The sequence below is a fragment of the Homo sapiens genome, chromosome 4, assembly GCF_000001405.40.
Source record: "Homo sapiens chromosome 4, GRCh38.p14 Primary Assembly".
NCBI classification, from domain to species: Eukaryota; Metazoa; Chordata; class Mammalia; order Primates; family Hominidae; genus Homo; species Homo sapiens.
This window is the reverse complement of record NC_000004.12, coordinates 107,954,144-107,979,372: the sequence shown is the minus strand read 5'-3', so window position 1 is coordinate 107,979,372 and position 25,229 is coordinate 107,954,144. Positions and strand designations below refer to the sequence as shown.

Genomic DNA, 25,229 nt, shown 5'->3' with positions numbered 1-25,229 from the left:
AAAATTAGCTGGACATGGTGGTGCTTGCCTGTAGTCCCAGCTACTAGGGAGGCTGCAATGGGAGGATCACCTGAGTCCAGGAAGGTCAAGGCAACAGTCAGCTGTGATCATGCCACTGCACTCCAGCCTGGGTGATAGCGTGAGACCCTGTCTCAAACAAAACAAAACAAAAAGTGATGTAAAGAAAGGAGCACTGTAGCCAGAATTCAGTGTCCTGGCATAGTCACTAGTGTGCCGTATGACCTTCTACAAACACCCTCCTTTGGCTCCAATGTCATCTCTCAAAAGAAATAGTTGGACAAACAACATTCCAGCTGTTTTCTACTAATAGTCTAACACCACTTACCATCTTCTAAAGTGGGAGGGCCACCACTGCCCCTCCTCCTGCCTAGTGCTGATCAGATGACAGTTACAATAGAATCATTCTTCTTTTGCCAGAAGTGCAAATCATTTCCCAAATGTGGCCTTGGGTTTTCAGGAGCCCAGTAGTGACTTCTGTGGTCCCTGACTTGCACCCTCACCCTATTATTGGAGTTGTGCTTCATTTCTCTGTGTGGAAAGAGTGAAGTATTGGGAAATATGACCCTGGTCACCAAACCAACTCAGAGACAGCAAGTGCTTTGGCAAAGGAAAGGGCTGGCACAGAGAACAGAGTAAGTAATGACTACTTTTATTTTTGTACTATAAATGGATAATTATAGTACTTAAAAAATAGACATCAAAGAAGCATTATCTAACAACATACATGATGGTGGGCTCTGAGTGCAGCAGAAGCAGTGCGTAAAGTAGGTCCTTTGCCTCCAACAGAGCAGTGGTGGGCAAAAAATATCAATGCTTTTCTGGTCTTCAAGCTTTATGAAGTAGGCAGGCAGAGAGAGTCGAGCTGACACAGTACTGACACTGTCAGGTGATAGATGCATCGACCCAAGCACAGGATTTTTTAACAGCCAGGAGCATTTGGGGTTGGGATTCATTGAGTAAGTTGGGATTTTCCTTCTATTTGTGAGAAATTAATAATTTCTGGCTTATGGATAAAAAGTGAAAAATTAATGTTGCCTCTCCTGTTTTGTTGAGCAATTTAAAAATTTCATATGGCAGAAAACCAGAGGCTGTGGCTGCTCAGGGTGGCATGACAGCAAAGTCCAGAAAGTTCAATCAAAAGCTTACCTACTGCAAAATTAAAGATGGGTGACATTGCCACTCTTGTCAGCAGAGTTTTCAAGGAAATAATCATATGATTTGCATAATTAAGACATCATTAGTTCAGAAGGGAATGATCATGTATTTGTATGGCAAACTGAAACATGCTCTCAGGATGACTTATAAGACATATAAAGTAAAATCTCTAATAATACTGAATAACTTATCAAGTAATTCTGTGCTCTTGAGCTTTTAGAAAAAAAATTTATCCTGGCAGACCTTAAATATCTTGGTTTTTCTCATCATGCTAGCAGTTGTTGTAATACCAGGTGCTTTCTACCTCCATTTTCTCCTCTACTTAGAAAACCTTTATTCCACTTACAGAGCATTATGGCCTTCCAAAATAACGAGTTGAAATTAAAGTCTAGAAACTGCGAAGCATAGGATTCCTGGGATCGAAGTAGTCAAAACACACGCAAAACAAACATTTGTATAAAATGCTGCCTTTGGAAAAAAGAAGGTGATGTGTAGTACAGCTTATGCAATCTTGATTCAGGGTTTTAGGCATATTCTGCAATCTGGGTGAGAATTTATTTGGACTCTTGCTAAGGAGATGAAATGTTCATTTCACCCCAAACACAGATTTTGCACACAGAGGGTGACAATAGCCTATTTTACCATAAGTATTAGTGGCTCTGGGGTTTCATTGAGTATAGGTCAGGATTCTTTTTCTATTTTATGGGAAGGGAAGGATTTCTGAATTATTGAGAATGAACTATTTTTCTAACCTCAGCCAGCAGTCTCCAAAATGCTTGCATGAGATCATAAGACTCACTAAGTTGGACAATGAGAACCATGCAGTACACATTCATTACTACCCAAGGGGGGAACCACCTACAGAATGTGGCCTTTCACATAAATTATACCTTCTGATTTGTTTTCTTAGGATTTCCAGGTATGAAGTTTTATGCAATGAAAACTAACCATTCACTAGCCTTAAAAACAATGATAATAATGATGGCCATCCCTTTGAGCAATTTTTATATACCACTCAGTTAGGTTAAATGGTTTTGCATGTAATATCAGCATTTATTGAGCCCATTGCTATTTTTACACCATTCTGGGTACTACATGTGAATTCATTCATTAAATTCTCACAATAACCCTATGTGGTAGGTGCTAAGGGTACCCATCTTTTACGGGTAAGAACGTTGAGGCCCAAAAAGGTTCAGAAACTTAGCCAAGGCCACACAGCTAATGAATGGCACTGGCAGACTTCAAATTCAGGACAGTTTGTTTTCAGGGGTCGTGTTCTTGACTACATGCTGTTTTGCCTTTTCATAACAACCCTCAGGCTTTCGTGCTATCCTCATCTAAAATGAAGAAACAGGTTTGGAGCATTTCAACCATTTATTAAATGTAGCTCACGTAATAACTGACCAGGCTCAGATTTTATCCCACTCTGACCTCAAGGCTCTCATGCTTTTCACAATTCCATACTTGTTAGACAGTACCCCTGCTTCTAGAGGGGAAAAAAGGAGGGAGATGTTCTCCAGTAAACATTATCTACGTTTAGATTTGGAGCTTTTGCTGTTATAGTAATATTATCATAAAAATTAGGCCAATTAATATATTTGGACATTCTTACTAATAAACCCCAGAGCTGCAAGTTTCCCACAGTGATTCCCAATGGTTCTACCTGAAGACTGTAAGAGTCATATGTTTATACCATCTGATTTCCGGCATGCAGAATCTTGTTTCTCAAACACAAACATCCATTTTTAATTGTTTATTGCTCACCTCTCCTTGATACTTCAAATACTTATCAGATACTTCAAACGTAACTTATCAAAATTTGAGCCTATTATTTCCTGCCCCCCCACCTCACTCAAATAGCTTCCACCTCTTCTTGCATTTGATGCCTCAGTTCAAGGGGCCTTATGATGTACCGTGTATCAGCTGTTAGTTACTTTTTATTGCTGAATAGTATTCCATTGTATGGCTTTACCAGTTTTGTCTATACATTTAGCAGTTGATAGACATTGAGGTTGGTTCCAGTTTGGAATTATGAATAATGCTGCTATGAACATTCACAAGCAAGGAGTCTTGCTATGTTGGCCAGGCTGGTCTCCAACTCCTCTCAAGCAGTCCTCTCACCTCAGCTTTCTGAGTAGCTGGAATTACAGACATGTACCACTGCACCCAGCTTGGACGTACATTTTCATTTCTCTTGGGTAGTTTTGTGTTTAACTTTTTGAGAAACTACAAAACTGTTTCCAAAATGACTACACAAATTTTATAACCACCAGCAATATATGAGTTCCTTTTTCTCCACATCTTCACCAACACTTGTTATTTTCTGTTTATCTGTTATAGCCATCCTAGTGTGTGTGAAAAGGTACACTTAATTCTCTTCCCTAATTACTAATGATGTTGAGCATTTTTATGTGCTTATTAGCCATTCGTGTATCTTCTTTATTAAAATATTTCTTCTGGGGCCACCACTGCCCCTCTTGCACTTTTGCCAGAAGTGCAGATCGTTTCCCAAATGTGGCCTTGGGCTTTCAGGAGCCCAGTAGTGACTTCTGTGGTCCCTGACTTGCACCCTCACCCTGTTATTGGAGTTGTGCTTCATTTCTCTGTGTGGAAAGAGTGAAGTATTGGGAAGTATGACCCTGGTCACCGAACCAACTCAGAGACTTATTTTCAATATGTACTCATGAATTCTTAGTCTTTCCAAAGGTATATAATTCATTACTGTATTTATTTAATTATTTTGATTTTCCAATTGAACCAGATTTGGCCAGTGGGAATCTCTCCAAGATGGTTCCTTTGTGACATTTCCCCACTATCTTCTCACTTCTTGATTCCTCACCATCTTCTCACTTCCTGATTTTTGGACATAACAAGGCTCATCTTGTACCTCTTCTGACCTAGCTCCAGAAACAGCCATTTTCATTTAGAAGCTCTGGTTCCTCTGAGTGGAAATGGTATTAGAAACCAAGGTCTGGGCACAACCGTACCTTAAAGAGAGTAATCTGGCAGCTGAGTGAAGTATGCATTAGTTCTCTATTACCCTGTGTATTAGTCTGTTCTCCCGCTGCTATGAAGAAATAATTGAGACTGGGTAATTTATAAAGAAAAGAGGTTTAATTGATTCACAGTTCCAGATGGCTGGGGAGGCCTCAGGAAACTTACAATCATGGCAGAAGGTGAAGGGGAAGCAAGGCGCTTTCCTCACAAGGCAGCAGGAAAGAGAAGTGCCAAGAAAAGGGGGGAAAGCCCCTTATAAAACCATGAGATCTTGTGAGAACTCACTATCATGAGAACAGCATGGGGTAACTGCCCCCATGATTCAGTTACCTCCCACCAGGTCCATCCCATGACACGTGGGGATTATGGGAACTACAGTTCAAGATGAGATTTGGGTGGGGACACAGCCAAACCATATTACTGTGTGACAAATTACCACAGCTTTGTGGTCAAAAAAAGAAAAAAAAAATCTCACACTTTGTTTTGATCAAGGAATCAGGGGTGACTTAGCTGGGTGGCTGTAGCTAATGGTTCTTCATGAAACTATAGTCAAAATGTTGTCTAAGTCTGCAATCATCTAAAGGCTCGACAGGAACAGGAATGTCTGTTTTCGAGATGGCTTGCTCACATATGGTACATGGCTGTTGACAGGATGTACCATATTCTTACTGGCTGTTAGCAGGAGGCCTTGGTGCCTTGTCACGTAAGCATCTCCACAGGGCTGCTTGTGTGTCCTCATGTGACAGCAGCTGGCTTCCCTTGGAGCAAGTGACCCAAAAGAGCAAGGCAGGAACCACAATGTTTTTTTATGACCTAGCTTCAAAAGCTGCACATCATTTCTGCAATAGCCTAGTGGTTATACAAGTCAGTGTTATTCAGTGTGGGAGGGAACCATATAAAGAATCATCAGGGGCCATCTTGGACTCTGGCTACCACACAAGCCCAAGATGGTAAAGAGACTTTTCTGTGTTATTTTTATGTTATTTTCTATGCTGTGTTTTACTTTTCACTTGTAGGTCTATCACCCGTCAGGAATTGTTTTTAAGACATGGTGTGAGATAGGGAGTCAGGGTTCATTTATTCCTTTACTGATAGGCAGTTAATATGCACCATTTATTGAAATTTCCACTCTTTCCCCCAGCATACTGCAGGGGCATCTTTGTGACAAATCAGGTGCTCTTATGTGTGTAGGTCTATTGGTCTATTTGTCTTCGTGCCAGTGCTACCCTGCCTTGCTTATTGTAGTTTTATAAGGAGTCTTGACATCTGCTACCATGATTGTTTTGACTATTCTTGGCCCTTTGCTTTTACAAATAAATTTTATTTAGCGTTGGCCACTTTTTGCAATTATTTCTGCTCAGGCCTAACCCTGGTAAGGTTCTGATTTAATTGGCCTGGGGTGAAATCTAGGCATCAGTATTTTTATCAAACACCCCAAGTGGTTCTAAAATACTGCCATAGATGAGAACCATGGATCTAGAAGAACTCTAGTCTGTGGCAGCAGGGAAAATTAAGGCCCAAGAAAGTTGAGTGCTTACCAAAAGTTACACAGAGAGGCAGTTGCAGAACCAGGGCTCCAGCCCAGGTGCCTTGTTTTCCAGTGCAGTCCTCTTTCCACCATCTATATTTACTCCTGGACATGCCACTGTAGGTAAGTAGCAGAAAGGCAGAGAGGAGAGAGTTACCCAGAGACTTTTTAACTCCTTACATCTGAGAGCTTCAGAGGAAATGGCAGTTGGGGGACAACGGAGACATTAGATTATTAGTTTACAGACACAGCCAAGATGCTCAGCAGGGAGGGTGTAACAATGGAATAATAAAGCTACACAGAGATCTGAGAGATCATCTTTCTAATCTTTGATAGATGAAGAAACAGACCAAAGAGATCACATAGCTAGTTATAAGCAGGGGCAGGACTTGGGTCTGAAGTGTGCCACACTCCTGGTTCAGTCCTCATTGTCCCATCGTTGTCATAGACTGACAGGTTCTTCTTGCCTGCTGCTCAGAAAAACCAATGCACTGAGAACAGCAAGTATTGCAGCAAAGAAAGAGTTTAATTATTGTGGGGCCAGACAAATGAGGGGAATGGGAGAAATTTCTCAAATCTGTCTCTCCAATAATTCAGAGGGTAAAGTTTTTAAGGGTAAATTGGTAGGCAGGTAGTGGGGAAACTGAAACAATTGATTGGCTGAAGATGAAATCACAGAGGTGTCTAAATTGTCTTCACACAGCTAAGTCTTCCCAGGGAAGGGGGAAAGGGTGTTCTCAGAACCAAGTGGTATCTCTTTGTTGAAATGCTAAATCTGAAAAATATCTTAAAGACCAGTTCTTTAGGTTTCACAATAGTTATGTTATCTATAGGAGTAGCTGGGGAGTTACAAATCTTATGACCTCTCATGTGACTTTGGAGCAGAAAGCAATGTATAGAAAAGCAAGCTAAGCAGCAGTAGGTTATTGTTTAACCATGCTTATTCTTTAGCAAGGTTCAAGCCCCAACCATAATTCTAATCTTGTGTTATGAATGCAGCATTAGTCTCCAGCAAGAGGGGATTCAGTTTTCCTTGCTTCAAAGTTTAACTATAAACTAAATTCCCTTCATATTATCTTGGCCTCCATGCTAGAATAAACAACAACAAAAAGAAAGAAAAAAGAGAAAAGAAAAAGAGGAGAGGAAAAGAGAAGAGCCTGTGAGGTTGAGGTTAAAAGCAAGACAGTCAGTCATGTTAGATTTCTCTCATTACTTAACAATTCTGCAAAGGTAGTTTCACTATGTTCAGAGTTATACTGAGGTGCATTTAGGGAAAATTCTTCATCTTAAAGATTTTAACAGTGTTGGCATATACTAACCATTCAACATATTTTTTGAATGAATAAGTGAATAGCTTGAAATTTATGGCTATTTAAAAACAATGCCATTTCATGCAGTAACTCCCACCACAGGCTTGAGTTGTGGTCCCTTAGGAGTTTCTGTCTCCAACTTATCTTTGTGTACCTGGTCAGATGTTTCCTGAGAGGAGCAAGCCTTTATTGTTTTTCCTACAATTACGTTTCTTATTAATAGGGCAGAAAGAATATACAGCATATACAGATATACAGCTAAATGGTATTACATTAATCCCAGGCCCCCAGGGAAAATTATTTAACAACCAATGTAACTTTTTTTTTTTTTGAGATAGAGTCTTGCTCTGTTGCCCAGGCTGGAGTGCAGTGAGCTATCTTGGCTCACTGCAACCTCTGCCTCCTGGGTTCAAGCGATTCTCCTGCCTCAGCCTCCCAAGTAGCTGGGACTACAAGCGTGTAGCACCATGCCCGGCTAATTTTTTTTTTTGTATTTTTAGTAGAGACAGAGTTTCACCATTTTGGCCAGGCTGGTCTCGAACTCCTGACCTCAGGTAATCTGCTCACCTTAGCCTCCCAAAGTGTTGGTATTACAGGCGTGAGCCACTGCACCCAGCCTCCAATGTAACTTTTGCCTTTAAGATTTTTTTCTTTGAGACAGAAAAAAAAATCTTCAAAATTCTTCATCTTAAATATTTTAACAGTGTTTGGCATATACTAACCATTCAACATATTTCTTGAATGAATAAGTGAATAGCTTTACATTTATGTATATTTAAAAATAATACCATTTAACGTAGGTGCTTGAAACAATATGAAGTAAGAATCCTACCTGCGATTGTTTTTGGTAGGTCCTTAAGATTTGGCAGCTTACTCTCAATATATCTCTCTTACTCTCTCTCTCTCTCTCTCTTTTTTTTTTTTAATATGGTGAAATTAGACCAGGGGTCAGAACATAGATTTTAGTCTCCTTTAGTTCATCTACTAGGAGACTAAATTAGATAATCTCTAAACTCCCTTTTAGTTCTAAAATTCTGTAATTAAACTCTAGCATATCATCATTTTAGACTAAAAGTTTTCTTCTTCTTCTTCTTTTTTTTTTTGTTTTTTTGAGATGGAGTCTCGCTCTGTCACCCAGGCTGGAGTGCCATGGTGCAATCTCGGCTCACTGCCACCTCTGACTCCCGAGTTCAAGCGATTCTCCTGCCTCAGCCTCCTGAGTAGCTGGGACTACAGGTGTGTACCACCATGCCTGGCTAATTTTTGTATTTTTAGTAGAGATGGGGTTTCACTGTGCTGGCCAGGCTGGTCTGGAACTCCTGACCTCAAGTGATCCACCCGTCTCAGCCTCCCAAAGTGCTGGGATTACAGGCATGAGCCACCGCACCCGGCCTAGACTAAAGATGTTTTCAATTAAACATTCTTAGTATGCTTTAGTAAGAGCTATTGAGGCTTTCATTTTACAGATGAGTATTAAAGTATCATGAACCAAATAGGCTCTGTGCTATAAGAAATAACTCAATAAGAAATAACTCAATGGTGGTTCATGCCTGTAATCCTAGCACATTGGGAGGCCAAGGTGGGAGGATCGTTTGAGCCCATGGATTCAAGACCAGCCTGGGCAACATGGTGAGACCCTCCCCCCCCCCGCCCCATCTAAAAAAAAGTACAAAAATTAGCTGGGCACATTGGTGCATGCCTATGGTCCTAGGTCTTCAAGAGACAGAGGTGGGAGGCTCGCTCCAGCCCAGGATGTCCAGGCTGCTGTGAGCCATGATCGCGCCACGACACTCCAGCCTGGATGACAGAGTGAGACCCTGTCTCAGAAAAAAAAAAAGAAAGAAATAACTCAATTGTTTCCAGGCAAGCTATCGCAATCTGGTAGGACATTGTTCCTTTATTTTTTCAAGGAATAGATGTTCGTTATAGAAAATTTGAGAAATGTAGAAAAGAATTAAGAGTAAAACAAAAATCAAACATATACATTGTAAGTCAGATCATGTCCCTTCTCTGCTAAAAACTCTCCCATAGCTCCCATTTTATTCAGATAAGAGCAAGTCTTTACCCCACGCACTCCCCCGCACCACTATCCGCTACTCTCTTTTGTCCATTCACTCTGCTTCAGCTGTGCTGTTTCCCTGCTGCTGTTCCTCAGACCTTGCAGGCACACGCTCACTATGAGGGCTTTGGACTTGCTGTTCCCTCTGCCTGGGGTGTTCCTTTCCTAGATATCTACAGGGCTCACACCTCAATTCCTTGGCTGTTCACTTAAAAATCACCCTCCCAGTGAGGCCACCTTCCCTGGTCTCGCCACCTAAAATTGTAACCTCTCCCTGACATTTTGTATCCCCTTGCTAGTTTTATTTCTTAACACTTATCACTAACATGCTACACATTTTGTTTCTCTTATCCATTCAACTTTTTTTCCCCTTTCAGGAATTAAGCCTCTTCTTTTTTTTTTCTTTTGAGATGGAGTCTCACTCTGTCACCCAGGCTGGAGAGTGGTGGTGCAATCTCTGCTCACTGTCACCTCCACCTCCTGGGGTTCAAGCAATTCTCCTGCCTCTGCCTCTCGAGTAGCTGGGATTGCAGGTGCCTGACACCACGCCCAGCTAATTTTTTGTATTTTTAGTAAAGACAGGGTTTCACCATGTTAGCCAAGCTGGTCTCGAACTCCTGACATCAAGCGATCCACCTACCTCTGCCTCCCAAAGTGCTGGGATTACAGGCATGAGCCACAATGCCTGGCCAGGAATTAAGCTTCTTACATCACAGATTTTTCTTTTGTTCACTGCTGTGCCCCAACATCTAGAACAGGCCTCATAATTGTTTTGTGCATGGATGAGGGTGGGTATTCCATTGACCATAGTGTTGAGCATGTGGATTTTTTATCCCTTTTTTTCTTTTCTTTCCATTTCTCTTCTCCATTGCTCTCAAATATATCACTGCAATGAATAACGTATCCCAAACTATTTTTCATCTGATTATCTCCCATAGTTAGTATCTTAGAGTAGAATTTATTGGGCTAAATGACATAAATGCCTAATTTTTAAAATTTGGGGATGATTTTAAGTTACAGAAAAATTGCAAAAATGGTCCAAAGTTCTTATATTTCCTTCACCCAACCTCTACTAATTTTGACATCTTACATAACCATGGTTCATTTGTCAAAACTAAGAAATTAACATTGGTATGATACTATTAACTAAACTACAGATGTTATTTGAGTTCACCAGTTTTTCCACTAAAGTCAGTATTCTGTTCCAGGATTCAATCTAGGATGCCACTGTGCATTTAGGAATAATTAGAATCTTGGTACATATTCTTAAATTTTCTCCAGATATGTGGTTCCAGTCTGTATTGCCAACAGCAATGTATGACTGCTTCTCTCTTATCAATACTTAGTATTTTCCTTTTTCAAAAATATCTTTAAAATTCAATGGTTAAAAATGGTGTCTCACTGTAATAGTTCCATTTCAATGAATTTGAAAAATGTTTTATATTATTGGCCATTTGTATTCCTAAAAATTTTTGGCCAGGCATGGTGGCTGATGCCTGTAATCCCAGCACTTTGGAGGCTGAGGCAGGTGGATCACTTGAGGCCAGGAGTTCGAGACCAGTCTGGCCAACAGGGTGAAACCTTGTCTCTACTAAAAATATAAAAATTAGCTGGGGGTGGTGGCACGTGCCTGTAATCCCAGTTACTCGGGAGGCTGAGGCACAAGAATTGCTTGAACCTAGGAGGTGGAGGTTGCAGTGAATCGAGTTTGAGCCACTGCACTCCAGCCTGGGTGACAGAGAGAGACTGTCTCAAAAAAAAAATTATATCTCAAAAATTAACTCAAGATGGATTAAAGACTTAAATGTAAAACCCAAAACTATAAAAACTCTAGAAGATAACCTAGGCAATACCATTCAGGACATAGGCACTGGCAAAGATTTCATGATAAACATACCAAAAGCAATTGCAACAAAAGCAAAAATTGACAAATGGGATCTAATTAAACTAAAGAGGTTCTATACAGCAAAAGAGACTATCAACAGAGTAAACAGACAACCCACAGAATGGGAGAAAAATTTTGCAAACTACATTCAACAAAGGTCTGATATCAAAAGTCTATAAGGAACTTAAACAAATTTACAAGAAAAAACAAACAATCTCATTAAAAAGTGGGCAAAGGATATGAACAGACACTTCTCAAAAGAAGACATACATGTGGCCAACAATTATATAAAAAAGCTCAGTATCGCTAATCATTAGAGAAATGCAAATCAAAACCACAGTGAGAAACCATTTCACACCAGTAAGATTGGCTGTTAAGAAAATAAAAAAATAACAGATGCTAGTGAGGTTGTGGAGAAAAAGGAATGCTTATACATTGTTGATGGGAGTGTAAATTAGTTCAACCATTGTGGAAGACAGTGTGGTGATTCCTCAGAGACCTAAAGACAGAACTACTTTTTGAGCCAGCAATCTATTACTGGATATATACCCAAAGGAATATAAATCATTATATTATAAAGACACATGCACACATGTTCATTGCAGCACTATTCACAATAGCAAAAACATGGAGTCAATCTAAATGCCCATCAATGATAGACTGGGTAAAGAAAATGTGGTACATATACAACATGGAATACTATGCAGCCATAAAAAAGAATGAGATCATATCCTTCACAGGGATGTGGATGGAGCTGGAGGCCATTATCCTTAGCAAACTAATGCAGGAACAGAAAACCAAATACCTCATGCTCTCACTTATAAGTGGGAGCTAAATGATAAGAACACATGGACACATAGAGGGGAACAACACACACTGGGGCCTATCTCAAGGTGGAGGGTGGGAGGAGGGAGAGGATCAGGAAAAATCACTAATGGGTACTAGGTTTAATACCTGGGTGATGAAATAATCTGTACAATAAACCCCCATAGAAGTGACTATGTTGTCTGGGGTATATACCCTGGGGTTCATGGTCGTGCACCAGGAAAATGTTAAGACATGGACAAACAAGAGGAGTTTAGGAGTGGAGGTTTAATAGGCAGAAGAGAAGAGAAAGAGAAACAGCTTTCTCTATAGAGAGAGTGGGGTCCCTGAATGGAAAAGACCTGCAGGTGGCATTGAATTTTATAGTCAGGTTTGAGGAGGCAGTGTCTGATTTACAAAGGGTTCACAGATAGGTTCGATCAGGTATGACATTTACATAGCAGATGGGGAAAGGCCGGTTGTCTCACCCTAATCTTATTATGCAAATGGGCTTTCCAGTTGATCTGAGCCATCTTGTCTGCTTCTTACTGTACACATGGCTGGCAGAGAAGGGAAGATGAAGCTGCCATCTTAAACATGTCTAGCCCCTAGTTCCTGCCAGCATTCACCCATGCAAGCTCCCAGCTTCCTCGTCTATGTCTGCCGCTTGACTTTACAGGCTGCTCTTTGTTAGACAATGATTTGGGGCTGCTTTTCATTAAAGAGAAAAGCCTTACCGAGGACTTCTGTACCCTCACTATCTGCCTAAGTGATTTCTTCTTAACTCCTGTATCACCATGACACAGTTATCCTATGTAACAAACCTGCACATGTACCCCTGAACTTAAAAGTTTAACACAATAATTTGTATCTTTTGCCTGTTTTTAAAATTAGGGTATTCTACTACTGAATTATAGCACTTACAGTTCACTAGAAGAAATACTATGCTATAGTATATGAAAATATTAAAGATACTATATATTATAGTATATATGGATTTATAAGCACTGACTTATAAGCACTTTATATATTAAGGATATTGAATTTTTGGCAAGGCTGATACAAACATTTTTTCATGATTTGCCAGCCGTTTTTTGGAATACAAGAGTTTTCTATTTTTATGTCATTAAGTGTATGCTGTTTTAGTTTTCTGATTGATTCTATTATTTTTTTAAGAGTTGGATTTTTTCTTTTTTTCTTTAAACAGCCTTATTGAAGAACATTGATGGATAAAAATTGTACATATTTAAGGTATACAACTTGATGTTTTGATGTATGTATACATTGTGAAATGGTCTTCACAATCAAACCAATTAACATATCTATCACCTCACCAAGTTACCATTTTCTTTTTCTTCTTTTATTATTATCTTTTTTTGTGGCAAAAACATTTAAGATCTACTTCTTAGAAAATTTCAAGTAAGGAATATTGTTAATCATAGCCACCAGGCTGTACATTAGATCTGTAGAACGTATTCATCCTGCATATTGAAACTTTTTATCCTTTGACCAGCATTACCGTTTCTCCCTCCCTACTGCCCCTGGCAACCACCATTCGCTTTATAATTCTATGAGTGCGACTATTTTAGGTTTCACACATCAATGGGATCAAGCAGTATTTGTTTTTCTGTGTCTGCCTTATTTCATTTAGCATAATATCCTCCAGGTTCATCCATGTTGTTGCAAATGGCAAAATTTCATTCTTTCCTGAGGCTGAATAATATTCCATTGTGTGTGTGTGTGTGTGTGTGTGTGTGTGTGTGTACACCACATTTTCTTTTATCCATTCATCCATCAGTGGATACTTACACTCTTTTCATATCTTAGCTGTTGTGAATAATGCTGCAGTGAACATGGGAGTGCAGATAAATCTTCAAGATCTTAATCTTGATTTCCATTTCTGTGGGTATATCCCAAAAGAGGGATTGCTAGATAATATGGTCGTTCTATTTTTTATTTTTTGAGGACCCTGTATACTGTTTTTGATAAAGGCTGTCCCAATATAAATTCTCATGAACACTGTACAAGGGTTCCCTTTTTCCTGCATCTTTGTCAACACTTTTAATCTCTTGTCTTTTTGATTAATAGCCATCCTGATAGTTATGAGGTGATGTTTCATTGGGTTTTCATCTGCATTTCCCTGATGATTAGTGATGTTGAGCACCATTACATATACCTGTTGGCCATTTGTATATCTTCTTTCTAGAAATGCCTATTTAGGTCCTTTGCCCATTTTATAATTGGATTATTTGCTTTTGCTATTGACTCGTGTGAGTTCCTTATATATTTTGGATATTAACTCCTTGTAAGATATATGGTTTACAAATATTTTCTCCCATTCCATAGGTTGTTATTTAACTCTGTGATTTTTTTTTCTTTGCTGGGCAGCAGTTTTTTAATTTGATGTGATTCTACTTGTCTATTTTTGCTTTTGTTGCCTGTACTCTTGCTATCTTATTCAAACATATTATTGCCAAGACAAATGTCAGAAAGCTTTTTCCCTATGCTTTCTTCTAGTAGTTTTACGGTTCTGAGTCTTATGTTTAAGTTTTTAATCCATTTTGAGTTTATTTTTGTTTATGGTGTCAGATGAGGGTCTAATTTCATTCTTTTGCCTGTGAATATCCAGTTTTCCCAACATTAGTTATTGAAGAGACTATCCTTTCACCATTGTGTGCTCTTGGCACTCTAGTGAAGATTGACTGTGAATGCATGGATTTATTTATGGGCTCTCTATTCTGTTCCGTTAATCTATATGTCTGTTTTTATGTCAGTACCATCGCACTTAGGTTACTGTAGCTTTGAAATATCTTTTGAAATCAGGAAGTGTGATGTCGCCAGCTTTATTATTCTTTCTCAAGATTGCTTTCAACCTGGGCAACATGTCAAATCTCCATCTCTACACACACACACAAAATACAAAAATTAGCTGGGTGTGGTAATGTGCATCTGTAGTTCCAGCTATTCAGGGGGGTGGGGGGGTGGGGGGGAAGGATCACTTGAGCCCCAAGGCTGGAGTGAGCCATGTTTGCGCCACCACACTCCAACCTGGGTGACAGAGCAAGACCCTGTCTTAAAAAAAAAAAAAAAAAAAAAAAAAAACCAAGCAAGATTGCTTTGGCTGTTTGGGGTCTTTTGAAGTTCCACATGAATTGTTTTTCTCTATGCGTGTGTAGGGAGTGCTGTTTGAAATTTGTTAGGGATTGCATTGAATCTGTAGATCATTTTGGATAGTATAAACACTAATTCACAAACATGGGATGTCCTTCCATTTATCTAATCTTCTTTAATTTCCTTCATCATTGTTTTGTACTTTTGAGTGTACAAGTCTTTCCCCTCTTTAAGTTTATTTCTATGTATTTTATTCTTTTTGCTGCTATTATATATGGGAATGTTTGCCTATTTCCTTTTTGGATAATTTATTGTTAGTGTATAGAAACACTGCTGAATTTTTTATGTTGATTTTATATCTTGCAACTTTATTGAATTTGCTAATTAGTTCTAACAGATTTTTTTGTTGAGCCTTTAGGGTTTTTTACATGTGTAAATAATATTTTCTTTTTTTTTTTTTTTGAGACAGGGTCTCACTCTGTCGCCCAGGCTGGAGTGCAGTGGCGCGATCTCGGCTCCCTGCAACCTTTGCCTCCCGGGTTCAAGCATTTCTCCTGCTTCAACCTCCCTAGTACCTGGGATTACAGGCACCTGCCACCACGCCTGGTTAATTTTTGTATTTTTAGTAGAGGCAGGGTTTCACCATGTTGGCCACACTGGTCTTGAACTCCTGACCTCAAGTGATCTGCCTTCCTTGTCCTCCCAAAGTGCTGGAATTACAGGCATGAGCCACCATGCCTAGCCATGTGTAAATAATCTTGTCATCTGCAGAGATAATTTTATTTCTTCCTCTTCAACTTGGATGCCTTTTTATTTCTTTTTTCTGTCTAGTTGTTTTGGTTAGGTTTTCCAACATTATATTGATAATAGTGGTAAAAGTGGGCATCCCTTCCTTGTATCAGATCTTAGAGGAAAAGCTTTCAGTTTTTCTCCATTGATTATGACGTTAGCTGTGACCTTTACATATATGGCTTTTACTGTGTTGAGGTATGTTCCTTCTATACCTATATTGTTGAAAGTTTTTTATCATGAAAGGATGTCAAATTTTGTCAAATGCTTTTTCTGTTATCTATTAAGATGATCATGTGGTTTTTTACATGTCATTCTGTTAATGTAGTATATGGCATTGATTGATTTGCATATACTGAACCATTCTTGCATTCCAGAGATAAATCCCACTTGTTCGTGGTGTATGATCTTTTAAATATGCTGTTGAATTTGGTTTGCTGGTATTACATTGAGGATTTTTATGGCTATGTTCATCAGTGATGTTGGCCTATGGTTTTCTTTTCTTTTGATATCTTTGGCTTTCGTATTGGGGTGATGCTGGCCTTTAAAGTGAGTATGAACGTGTTCCCTATTCTATTTTTTAAGGAGTTTAAGAGGGATTGGTATTAGTTCTTCTCTGAATGTTAGAAAAAGCCATGGTCCTGGGCTTTTCTTTGTTAGGAGGTATTTGATTACTGATTCAATGTTCTTATTTATTTTCAGAATTTAATTTCTTCTTAATTTAGTTTTGGCAGGTTGTATGTTACTAGGGATTTTCTGTTTCTTCTAGGTTATCCAATTTGTTGCTGTATAGTTGTTCATAAGTTGTCTCTTATAACCTTTTAATTTCTGAGTCATCCATTGTAATGTCTTCTTTCTTATTTCTGATTTGTCTTTTTTTTATAGTTCAATTTTTTTTTATTATACTTTAAGTTCTGGGGTACATGTGCACAACATGCAGGTTTGTTACATATGTATACATGTCCCATGTTGGTGTGCTGCACCTGTTAACTCATCATTTACATTAGGTGTATCTCCTAATGCTATCCCTCCCCCCTCCCCCTACCCCATGACAAGCCCCAGTGTGTGATGTTCCCCACCGTGTCCAAGTGTTCTCATTGTTCAATTCCCACCTATGAGTGAGAATATGCGGTGTTTGGTTTTCTGTCCTTGTGATAGTTTGTTCAGAATGATAGTTTCCAGCTTCATCCATGTCCCTGCAAAGGACATGAACTCATCCTTTTTTATGGCTGCATAGTATTCCATGTTGTATATGTGCCACATTTTCTTAATCCAGTCTATCATTGATGGACATTTGGGTTGGTTCCAAGTCTTTGCTATTGTGAATAGTGCTGCAATAAACATATGTGTTGATGTGTCTTTATAGCAGCATGATTTATAATCCTTTGGGTATATACCCAGTAATGGGATGGCTGGGTCAAATGATATTTCTAGTTCTAGATCCTTGAGGAATCGCCACACTGTCTTCCACAATGGTTGAACTAGTTTACAGTCCCACCAACAGTGTAAAAGTGTTCCTATTTCTCCACATCCTTTCCAGCACCTGTTGTTTCCTGACTTTTTAGTGATCGCCATTCTAACTGGTGTGAGATGGTATCTCACTGATTTGCATTTGGTTTTGATTTGCATTTGTCTGATGGCCAGTGATGATGAGCATTTTTTCATGTGTCTCATGGCTGCATAAATGTCTTCTTTTGAGAAGTGTCTGTTCATATCCTTCACCCACTTTTTGATGGGGTTGTTTGATTTTTTTCTTGTAAATTTGTTTAAGTTCTTTGTAGATTCTGGATATTAGCCCTTTGTCAGATGGGTAGATTGTAAAAATTTTCTCCCATTCTCTAGGTTGCCTGTTCACTCTGATGGTAGTTTCTTTTGCTGTGCAGAAGCTCTTTAGTTTAATTAGATCTCATTTGTCAATTTTGGCATTTGTTGCCATTGCTTTTGGTGTTTGAGTCATGAAGTCATTGCCCATGTCTATGTCCTGAATGGTATTGCCTAGGTTTTCTTCTAGGGTTTTTATGGTTTTAGGTCTAACATTTAAGTCTCTAATCCATCTTGCATTAATTTTTGTATAAGGTGTAAGGAAGGGATACAGTTTCAGCTTTCTACATATGGCTAGCCAGTTTTCCCAGCACCATTTATTAAATAAGGAATCCTTCCCCACTTCTTGTTTTTGTCAGGTTTGTCAAAGATCAGATGGTTGGAGATGTGTGGTATTATTTCTGAGGGCTCTGTTCTGTTCCATTGGTCTATATCTCTGTTTTGGTACCAATACCATGCTGTTTTGGTTACTGTAGCCTTGTAGTATAGTTTGAAGTCAGGTAGCATGATGCTTCCAGCTTTGTTCTTTTGGCTTAGGATTGTCTTGCCATTGTGGGCTGTTTTTTGGTTCCATATGAACTTTAAAGTAGTTTTTTCCAATTCTGTGAAGAAAGTCATTGGTAGCTGGATGGGGATGTCATTGAATCTATAAATTACCTTGGGCAGTATGGCCATTTTCACTATATTGATTCTTCCTATCCATGAGCATGGAACATTCTTCCATTTGTTTGTGTCGTCTTTTATTTCGTTGAGCAGTGGTTTGTAATTCTCCTTGAAGAGGTCCTTCACATCCCTTGTAAGTTGGATTCCTAGGTATTTTATTCTCTTTGAGGCAATTGTGAATGGGAGTTCACTCATGATTTGGCTCTCTGTTTGTCTGTTATTGGTGTATAAGAATGCTTGTGATTTTTGCACATTGATTTTGTATCCAGAGACTTTGCTAAAGGTGCTTATCAGCCTAAGGAGATTTTGGGCTGAGACTATGGGGTTTTCTAAATATACAATCATATAATCTGCAAACAGGGATGATTTGAGTTCCTCTTTTCCTAATTGAGTACCATTTATTTCTTTCTCCTGCCTGATTGCCCTGGCCAGAACTTCCAACACTATGTTGAATAGAAGTGGTGAGAGAGGGCATCCCTGTCTTGTGCCAAGAGAATGCTTCCAGTTTTTGCCCATTCAGTATGATATTGGCTGTGGGTTTGTCAGAAATAACTCTTATTATTTTGAGATGTGTCCCATCAATATCTAGTTTATTGAGAGTTTTTAGCATGAAGGGCTGTTGAATTTTGTTGAAGGCCTTTTCTGCATCTATTGAGACAATCATCTGATTTTGGTCTTTGGTTCTGTTTATATGATGGATTACATTTCTTGATTTGTGTATATTGAAGCAGCCTTGCATCCCAGGGATGAAGCCAACTTGATCATGGTGGATAAGCTTTTTGATGTGCTGCTAGATTCGGTTTGCCAGTATTTTATTGAGGATTTTTGCCTCGATGTTCATCAGGGATATTGGTCTAAAATTCTCTTTTTTTGTTGTCTCTCTGCCAGGCTTTGGTATCAGTATGATGCTGGCCTCATAAAACGAGTTAGGGAGGATTCCCTCTTTTTCTATTGATTGGAATAGGTTCAGCAGGAATGGTAACAGCTCCTCTTTGTACCTCTGGTAGAATTTGGCTATGAATCCGCCTGGTCCTGGCCTTTTTTGATTGGTAGGCTATTAATTATTGCCTCAATTTCAGAACCTGTTATTGGTCTATTCAGGGATTCAACTTCTTCCTGGTTTAGTCTTGGGAGGGTGTATGTGTCCAGGAATTTATCCATTTCTTCTAGATTTTCTAGTTTATTTGTGTAGAGGTGTTTATAGTATTCTCTGATGGTAGTTTGTATTTCTGTGGAATCGGTGGTGATATCCCCTTTATCATTTTTTATTGCATCTATTTGATTCTTCTCTCTTTTCTTCTTTATTAGTCTTGCTAGCGTTCTATCTATTTTGTTGATCTTTTCAAAAAATCAGCTCCTGGATTCATCAATTTTTTGAAGGGATTTTTGTGCCTGTATCTCCTTCAGTTCTGGTCTGATCTGTTATTTCTTGCCTTCTGCTAGCTTTTGAATGTGTTTGCTCTTGCTTCGCTAGTTCTTTTAATTGTGATGTTAGGGTGTCAAGTTTAGATCTTTCCTGCTTTCTCTTGTGGGCATTTAGTGCTATAAATTTCCCTTTACACACTGCTTTAAATGTGTCCCAAAGATTCTGGTATGTTGTGTCTTTGTTCTCATTGGTTTCAAGGAACATCTTTATTTCTGCCTTCATTTTGTTATGTACCCAGTCGTCATTCAGGAGCAGGTTGTTCAGTTTCCATGTAGTTGAGCGGTTTTGAGTTAGTTTCTTAATCCTGAGTTCTAGTTTGATTGCACTGTGGTCTGAGAGACAGTTTGTTATAATTTCTGTTCTTTTACATTTGCTGAGGAGTGCTTTACTTCCAACTACGTGGTCAATTTTGGAATAAGTGCAATGTGGTACTGAGAAGAATGTATACTCTGTTGACTTGGGTTGGAGAGTTCTATAGATGTCTATTAGGTCCACTTGGTGCAGAGCTGAGTTCAATTCCTGGATATCCTTGTTAACTTCCTGTCTCGTTGATCTGTCTAATGTTGACAGTGGGGTGTTAAAGTCTCCCATTATTATTGTGTGGGAGTCTAAGTCTCTTTGTAGGTCTCTAAGGACTTGCTTTATGAAAATGGGTGCTCCTGCATTGGGTGCATATATATTTAGGATAGTTAGCTCTTCTTGTTGAATTGATCCCTTTACCATTACGTAATGGCCTTCTTTGTCTCTTTTGATCTTTGTTGGTTTAAAGTCTGTTTTATCAGAGACTAGGATTGGAATTGCTGCTTTTTTTTTTTTTCCATTTGCTTGGTAGATCTTCCTCCATCCCTTTATTTTGAGCCTATGTGTGTCTCCGCACGTGAGATGGGTCTCCTGAATACAGCACACTGATGGGTCTTGACTCTTTATCCAATTTGCCAGTCTGTGTCTTTTAATTGGGGCATTTAGCCCATTTACGTTAAAGGTTAATATTGTTATGTGTGAATTTGATCTTATCATTATGATGTTAGCTAGTTATTTTGCTCGTTAGTTGATGCAGTTTCTTCCTACCAGCGATGGTCTTTACAATTTGGCGTATTTTTGCAGTGGCTGGTACCTGTTATTCCTTTCCATGTTTAGTGCTTCCTTTAGGAGCACTTGTAAGGCAGGCCTGGTGGTGACAAAATCTCTTAGCATTAGCTTGTCTGGTAAAGGATTTTATTTCTCCTTCACTTATGAAACTTAGTTTGGCTGGATATGAAATTCTGCATTGAAAATTTTTTTCTTTAAGAATGTTGAATATTGGCCCCCACTCTCTTCTGGCTTGTAGAGTTTCTGCCGAGAGAGTCGTTGTTATTCTGATGGGCTTCCCTTTGAGGATAACCCGACCTTTCTCTCTGGCTGCCCTTAACATTTTTTCCTTCATTTCAACTTTGGTGAACCTGACAATTGTGTGTCTTGGAGTTGCTCTTCTCGAGGAGTATCTTTGTAGCATTGTCTGTATTTCCTGAATTTGAATGTTGGCCTGCCTTGCTAGGTTGGGGAAGTTCTCCTAGATAATATCCTGCAGAGTGTTTTCCAACTTGGTTCCATTCTCCCCGTCACTTTCAGGTACACCAGTCAGACGTAGATTTGGTCTTTTTACCTCGTCCCATATTTCTTGGAGGCTTTGTTTGTTTCTTTTTACACTTTTTTCTCTAAACTTCTCTTCTCGCTTCATTTCATTCATTTGCTCTTCAATCACTGATACCCTTTCTTCCAGTTGATCGAATCGGCTACTGAAGCTTGTACATGCGTCACGTAGTTCTTGTGCCATGGTTTTTAGCTCCATCAGGTCATTTAAGGTCTTCTCTACACTGTTTATTCTAGTTAGCCATTCATGTAATATTTTTTCAAGGTTTTTAGCTTCTTTGCAATGGGTTCGAACATTCCCTTTAGCTTGGAGAAGTTTGTTATTACCAATCATCTGAAGCCTTCTTCTCTCAATTCATCAAAGTCATTCTCTGTCCAGCTTTGTTCCGTTGCTGACGAGGAGCTGTGTTCCTTTGGAGGAGAAGAGGTGCTCTGATTTTTAGAATTTTCAGCTTTTCTTCTCTGGTTTCTCCCCATCTTTGTGGTTTTATCTACCTTTGGTCCTTGATGATGGTGAATACAGATGGGATTTTGGTGTGGATGTCCTTTCTGTTTGTTAGTTTTCTTTCTAACAGTCAGAACCCTCAGCTGCATGTCTGTTGGAGTTTGCTGAGGGTCCACTCCAGATCCTGTTTGCCTGGGTGGCACCACCAGAGGCTGCAGAACAGCAAATGTTGCTGCTTGAACCTTCCTGTGGAAGCTTTGTCTCAGAGGGGCACCCGGCTGTATGAGGTGTCAGTAAGCCCTTACTGGTAGGTATCTCCCAGTTAGGCTACTCGAGGGTCAGGGACCCACTTGAGGAGGCAGTCTGTCCATTCTCAGATCTCAAACTCTGTGCTGGGAGAACCACTACTCTTTTCAAAGCTGTCAGACAGGGACGTTAAAGTCTGTAGAAGTTTCTGCTGCCTTTTGTTCAGCTATTCCCTGTCCCCAGAGGTGGAGTCTACAGAGGCAGGCAGGCCTCCTTGAGCTGCGGTGGGCTCCACCCAGTTCGAGCTTCCAGGCCACTTTGTTTACCTACTCAAGCCTCAGCAATGGCGGACGCCCTTCCCCCAGCCTTGCAGTTCAATCTCAGACTGCTGTGCTAGCAGTGAGCGAGGCTCTGTGGGCGTGGGACCCTCTGAACCAGGTGCGGGATATAATCTCCTGGTGTGCCGTTTGCTAAGACAGTTGGAAAAGCGCAGTATTGGGGTGGGAGTGTCCCGATTTTCCAGGTACCATCTGTCACGGCTTCCCTTGTCTAGGAAAGGGAATTCCCCGACCCCTTGCGCTTCCCAGGTGAGGTGATGCCCCGCCCTGCTCCGTGGGCTGCACCCACTGTCCGACAAGCCCCAGTGAAATGAACCCGGTACCTCAGTTGGAAATGCAGAAATCACCCGTCTTCTGTGTTGCTCACACTGGGAGCTGTAGACTGGAGCTTTTCCTATTCGGCCGTCTTGGAACCTCTTGTCTTCTTTTTTTTCTTAGTTTAGTTGAGGGTTTGTTGATTTTATCTTTCTAAAAAATCAACTCTTGGTTTTGTTGATTTTTCTATTGCTTTTCTATTTTCTATTTATTTCTGCTGTAATCTTTATTATTTCCTTTCCTCCACTAACTTTGAGCTTAGTTTGGTTTGTTCTGCCTGGTCTCTTGAGGTATAAAGTCAGGCTGTTTATTTGAGATCTTTCTCCTTTAACGTATGCATTTATCACTATAAACTCCTCTCATAACACAGCTTTTACTGCATCCCCTACATTTTAGTATGTTGTGTTTAGGTTTTTATTTGTCCAAAGATATTTCTTGAATTTCCCTTTGATTTCTTCTTTGACCCAATCTTTATTAGAGTGTATTGTTTTGTTTTCCCATATTTGTGAATTTTTTCATTTTCTTACCGTTTTTGATTTCTAGTTTCATTCCATTGTGGTTAGAAAAGATGTTTGGTATGATTTCCATTTTTTTTACATTTGTTAAGACTTGTTTTGTTACTCAATGTATGATCTATCCTGGAGAATGTTTTGTGTACACATGAGAAGAATGTATATTCTTCTGTTGGATGGAAAGTTCTATAGTTGTCTGTTAGGTCCATCTGGTCCATAGTGTTGTTCAAGTCACCTGTTTTTATTTTAATTGATTTTCTGTGCAGATGTTGTATCCATTATTGAAAGCAGGGTGTTGAAGTCTCCTACTGTTATTGTATTACTGTCCATTTCTCTCTTTAGATAGATCAATATTTGCTTTTATATATCTAGGTACACTGATGTTGGATGTGTATATATTTATAATTGTATCTTCTTGTTCAGTTGGCCCTTTCATCATTATATAATGGTCTTTTTTGTCTCTAGTTACAGTTTTTTACTTAAAGTCTATTTCATCTGGCATGAGTATAGCCATCCTTGCTCTCTTTTAATTAACATATGCATGGAATATCTTTTTCCATTGCTTCACTTTCAGCCTATGTGTGTCCTTAAATCTGAAGTGAGTCTCTTGTAGACAACATACAGTTGAATCTTCTTTTTAAATCCATTCAGTTACTCTATGTCTTTTGACTGGGGAGGTTAAGTCTATGTACAGTTAAAGTAATTATCAATAGGTAAAGGCTTACTATTGCCAGTCTGATAACTGTTTCTGGTTATTTTGTTGCTCTGTATTCATTTCTCCCTCTCTTTCTGTCTTCCCTTGTGATTTGATTATGTTTTGGGCTTGCATAAAGCATCTTATAGTTACAACTGTCTATTTCAAGCTGATACTAACTTCAATCTCATACAAAAACGCCATTCTCCCCAACCTTTGTGTCCTTGAATTCAGTGTTTAATTATCTTTATAGTGTGTATCCATTAACAATTGTGTGTGTGTGTGTGTGTGTGTGTGTGTTTTAGACAAAGTCTTGCTCTGTCACCAGGCTGGAGTGCAGTGGCGTGATCTCAGCTCACTGCAACCTCCAACTCCCTTGGTTTAAGCGATTCTCCTGCCTCAGCCTCCCAAGTAGCTGGGATTACAGGCATGTGCCACCATGCCCAGCTAATTTTGGTATTTTTAGTAGAGATGGGGTTTCACCATGTTGGCCAGGATGGTCTTAATTTCCTGACCTCATGATCTGCCTGCCTCAGCCTCCCAAAGTGCTGGTATTACAGGTGTGAGCCACTGGGCCCAGCCATCTTTTAACTTTTATATTAGGGTAAAAAGTAATTTATGTACTATTATAGTGTTACATTATTCTATATTTCCCTGTATATTTTCTTTTACCAGTGAGATTTATGTTTTCATGTTGCTATTTAACATGTTTTCATTTTAATTTGAAGAATTTCCTTAAGTATTTCTTATAAGACAGGTCTAGTGGTAACAAACAGATTCCCTCAGTTTCATTTGTCTTGGGATGACTTTATCCTTTATTTTTAAAGGCTATTTTTGCCCAATGCAATATTCTTGTTTGGCAGTTTTTTTCTTTTAGAATTTTGAATACATCATCCTACTCTATCCTTGGCTGCAGGGATTTTGCTGAGCAATCCACTGAGAGTCTTATGGATAATTAGCCTTTTCCCTTAACAAAAACTGATTATTTGACCCTCATACAAAGGGAAGAACTGATAAGAATATGAAATATCTTAGCCAGGCATGGTGGCACACACCTGTAGTCCTAGGTACTTAGGAGGCTGAGGTGGGAGGATCACTTCAGCCTGCAGTGAGCCGTGATCATGCCACTGCACCCTAGCCTGGGCAACAGAGTGAGACCCTGTCTCAAAAAAAATAAATAAAATAATATAAAAGTATATCATTTCAATGATGATAATACCAAATTATTTACTAATGAACAAATACCCTACTTAAATGAATTTGGTTTCTAAAAACAGTGCAGCAAAACCGAAGTAGATTTGAGGGTGCCACATTATTTGGTGTTCCCCTTGTTTCACTACTGTTATTTCACCAGAACTCATACTCTGGTGGCACAAGCCACAGTCACTGAGGCAGCAGACAGAAAACAATGACAGGTTTGCCTGTATCATCACCTCTGTAGCCTAAAGGGTCAAATAATCACCTTCCATCAAACTCACTTA

General features: G+C 39.3%; 1 long non-coding RNA gene across 1 annotated transcript in view; it reads left to right on the top strand.

The window, feature by feature from the left end:
• Nucleotides 1–449: 449 nt before the first annotated feature.
• Nucleotides 450–25,229, top strand: part of LOC107986298 (uncharacterized) — a 75,213-nt gene continuing 50,433 nt past the window's right edge. Inside the window, exon 1 of the long non-coding RNA XR_001741784.2 lies at nt 450–653. This is a non-coding gene — a long non-coding RNA (uncharacterized LOC107986298). The remainder of the gene's footprint in view (nt 654–25,229) is intronic.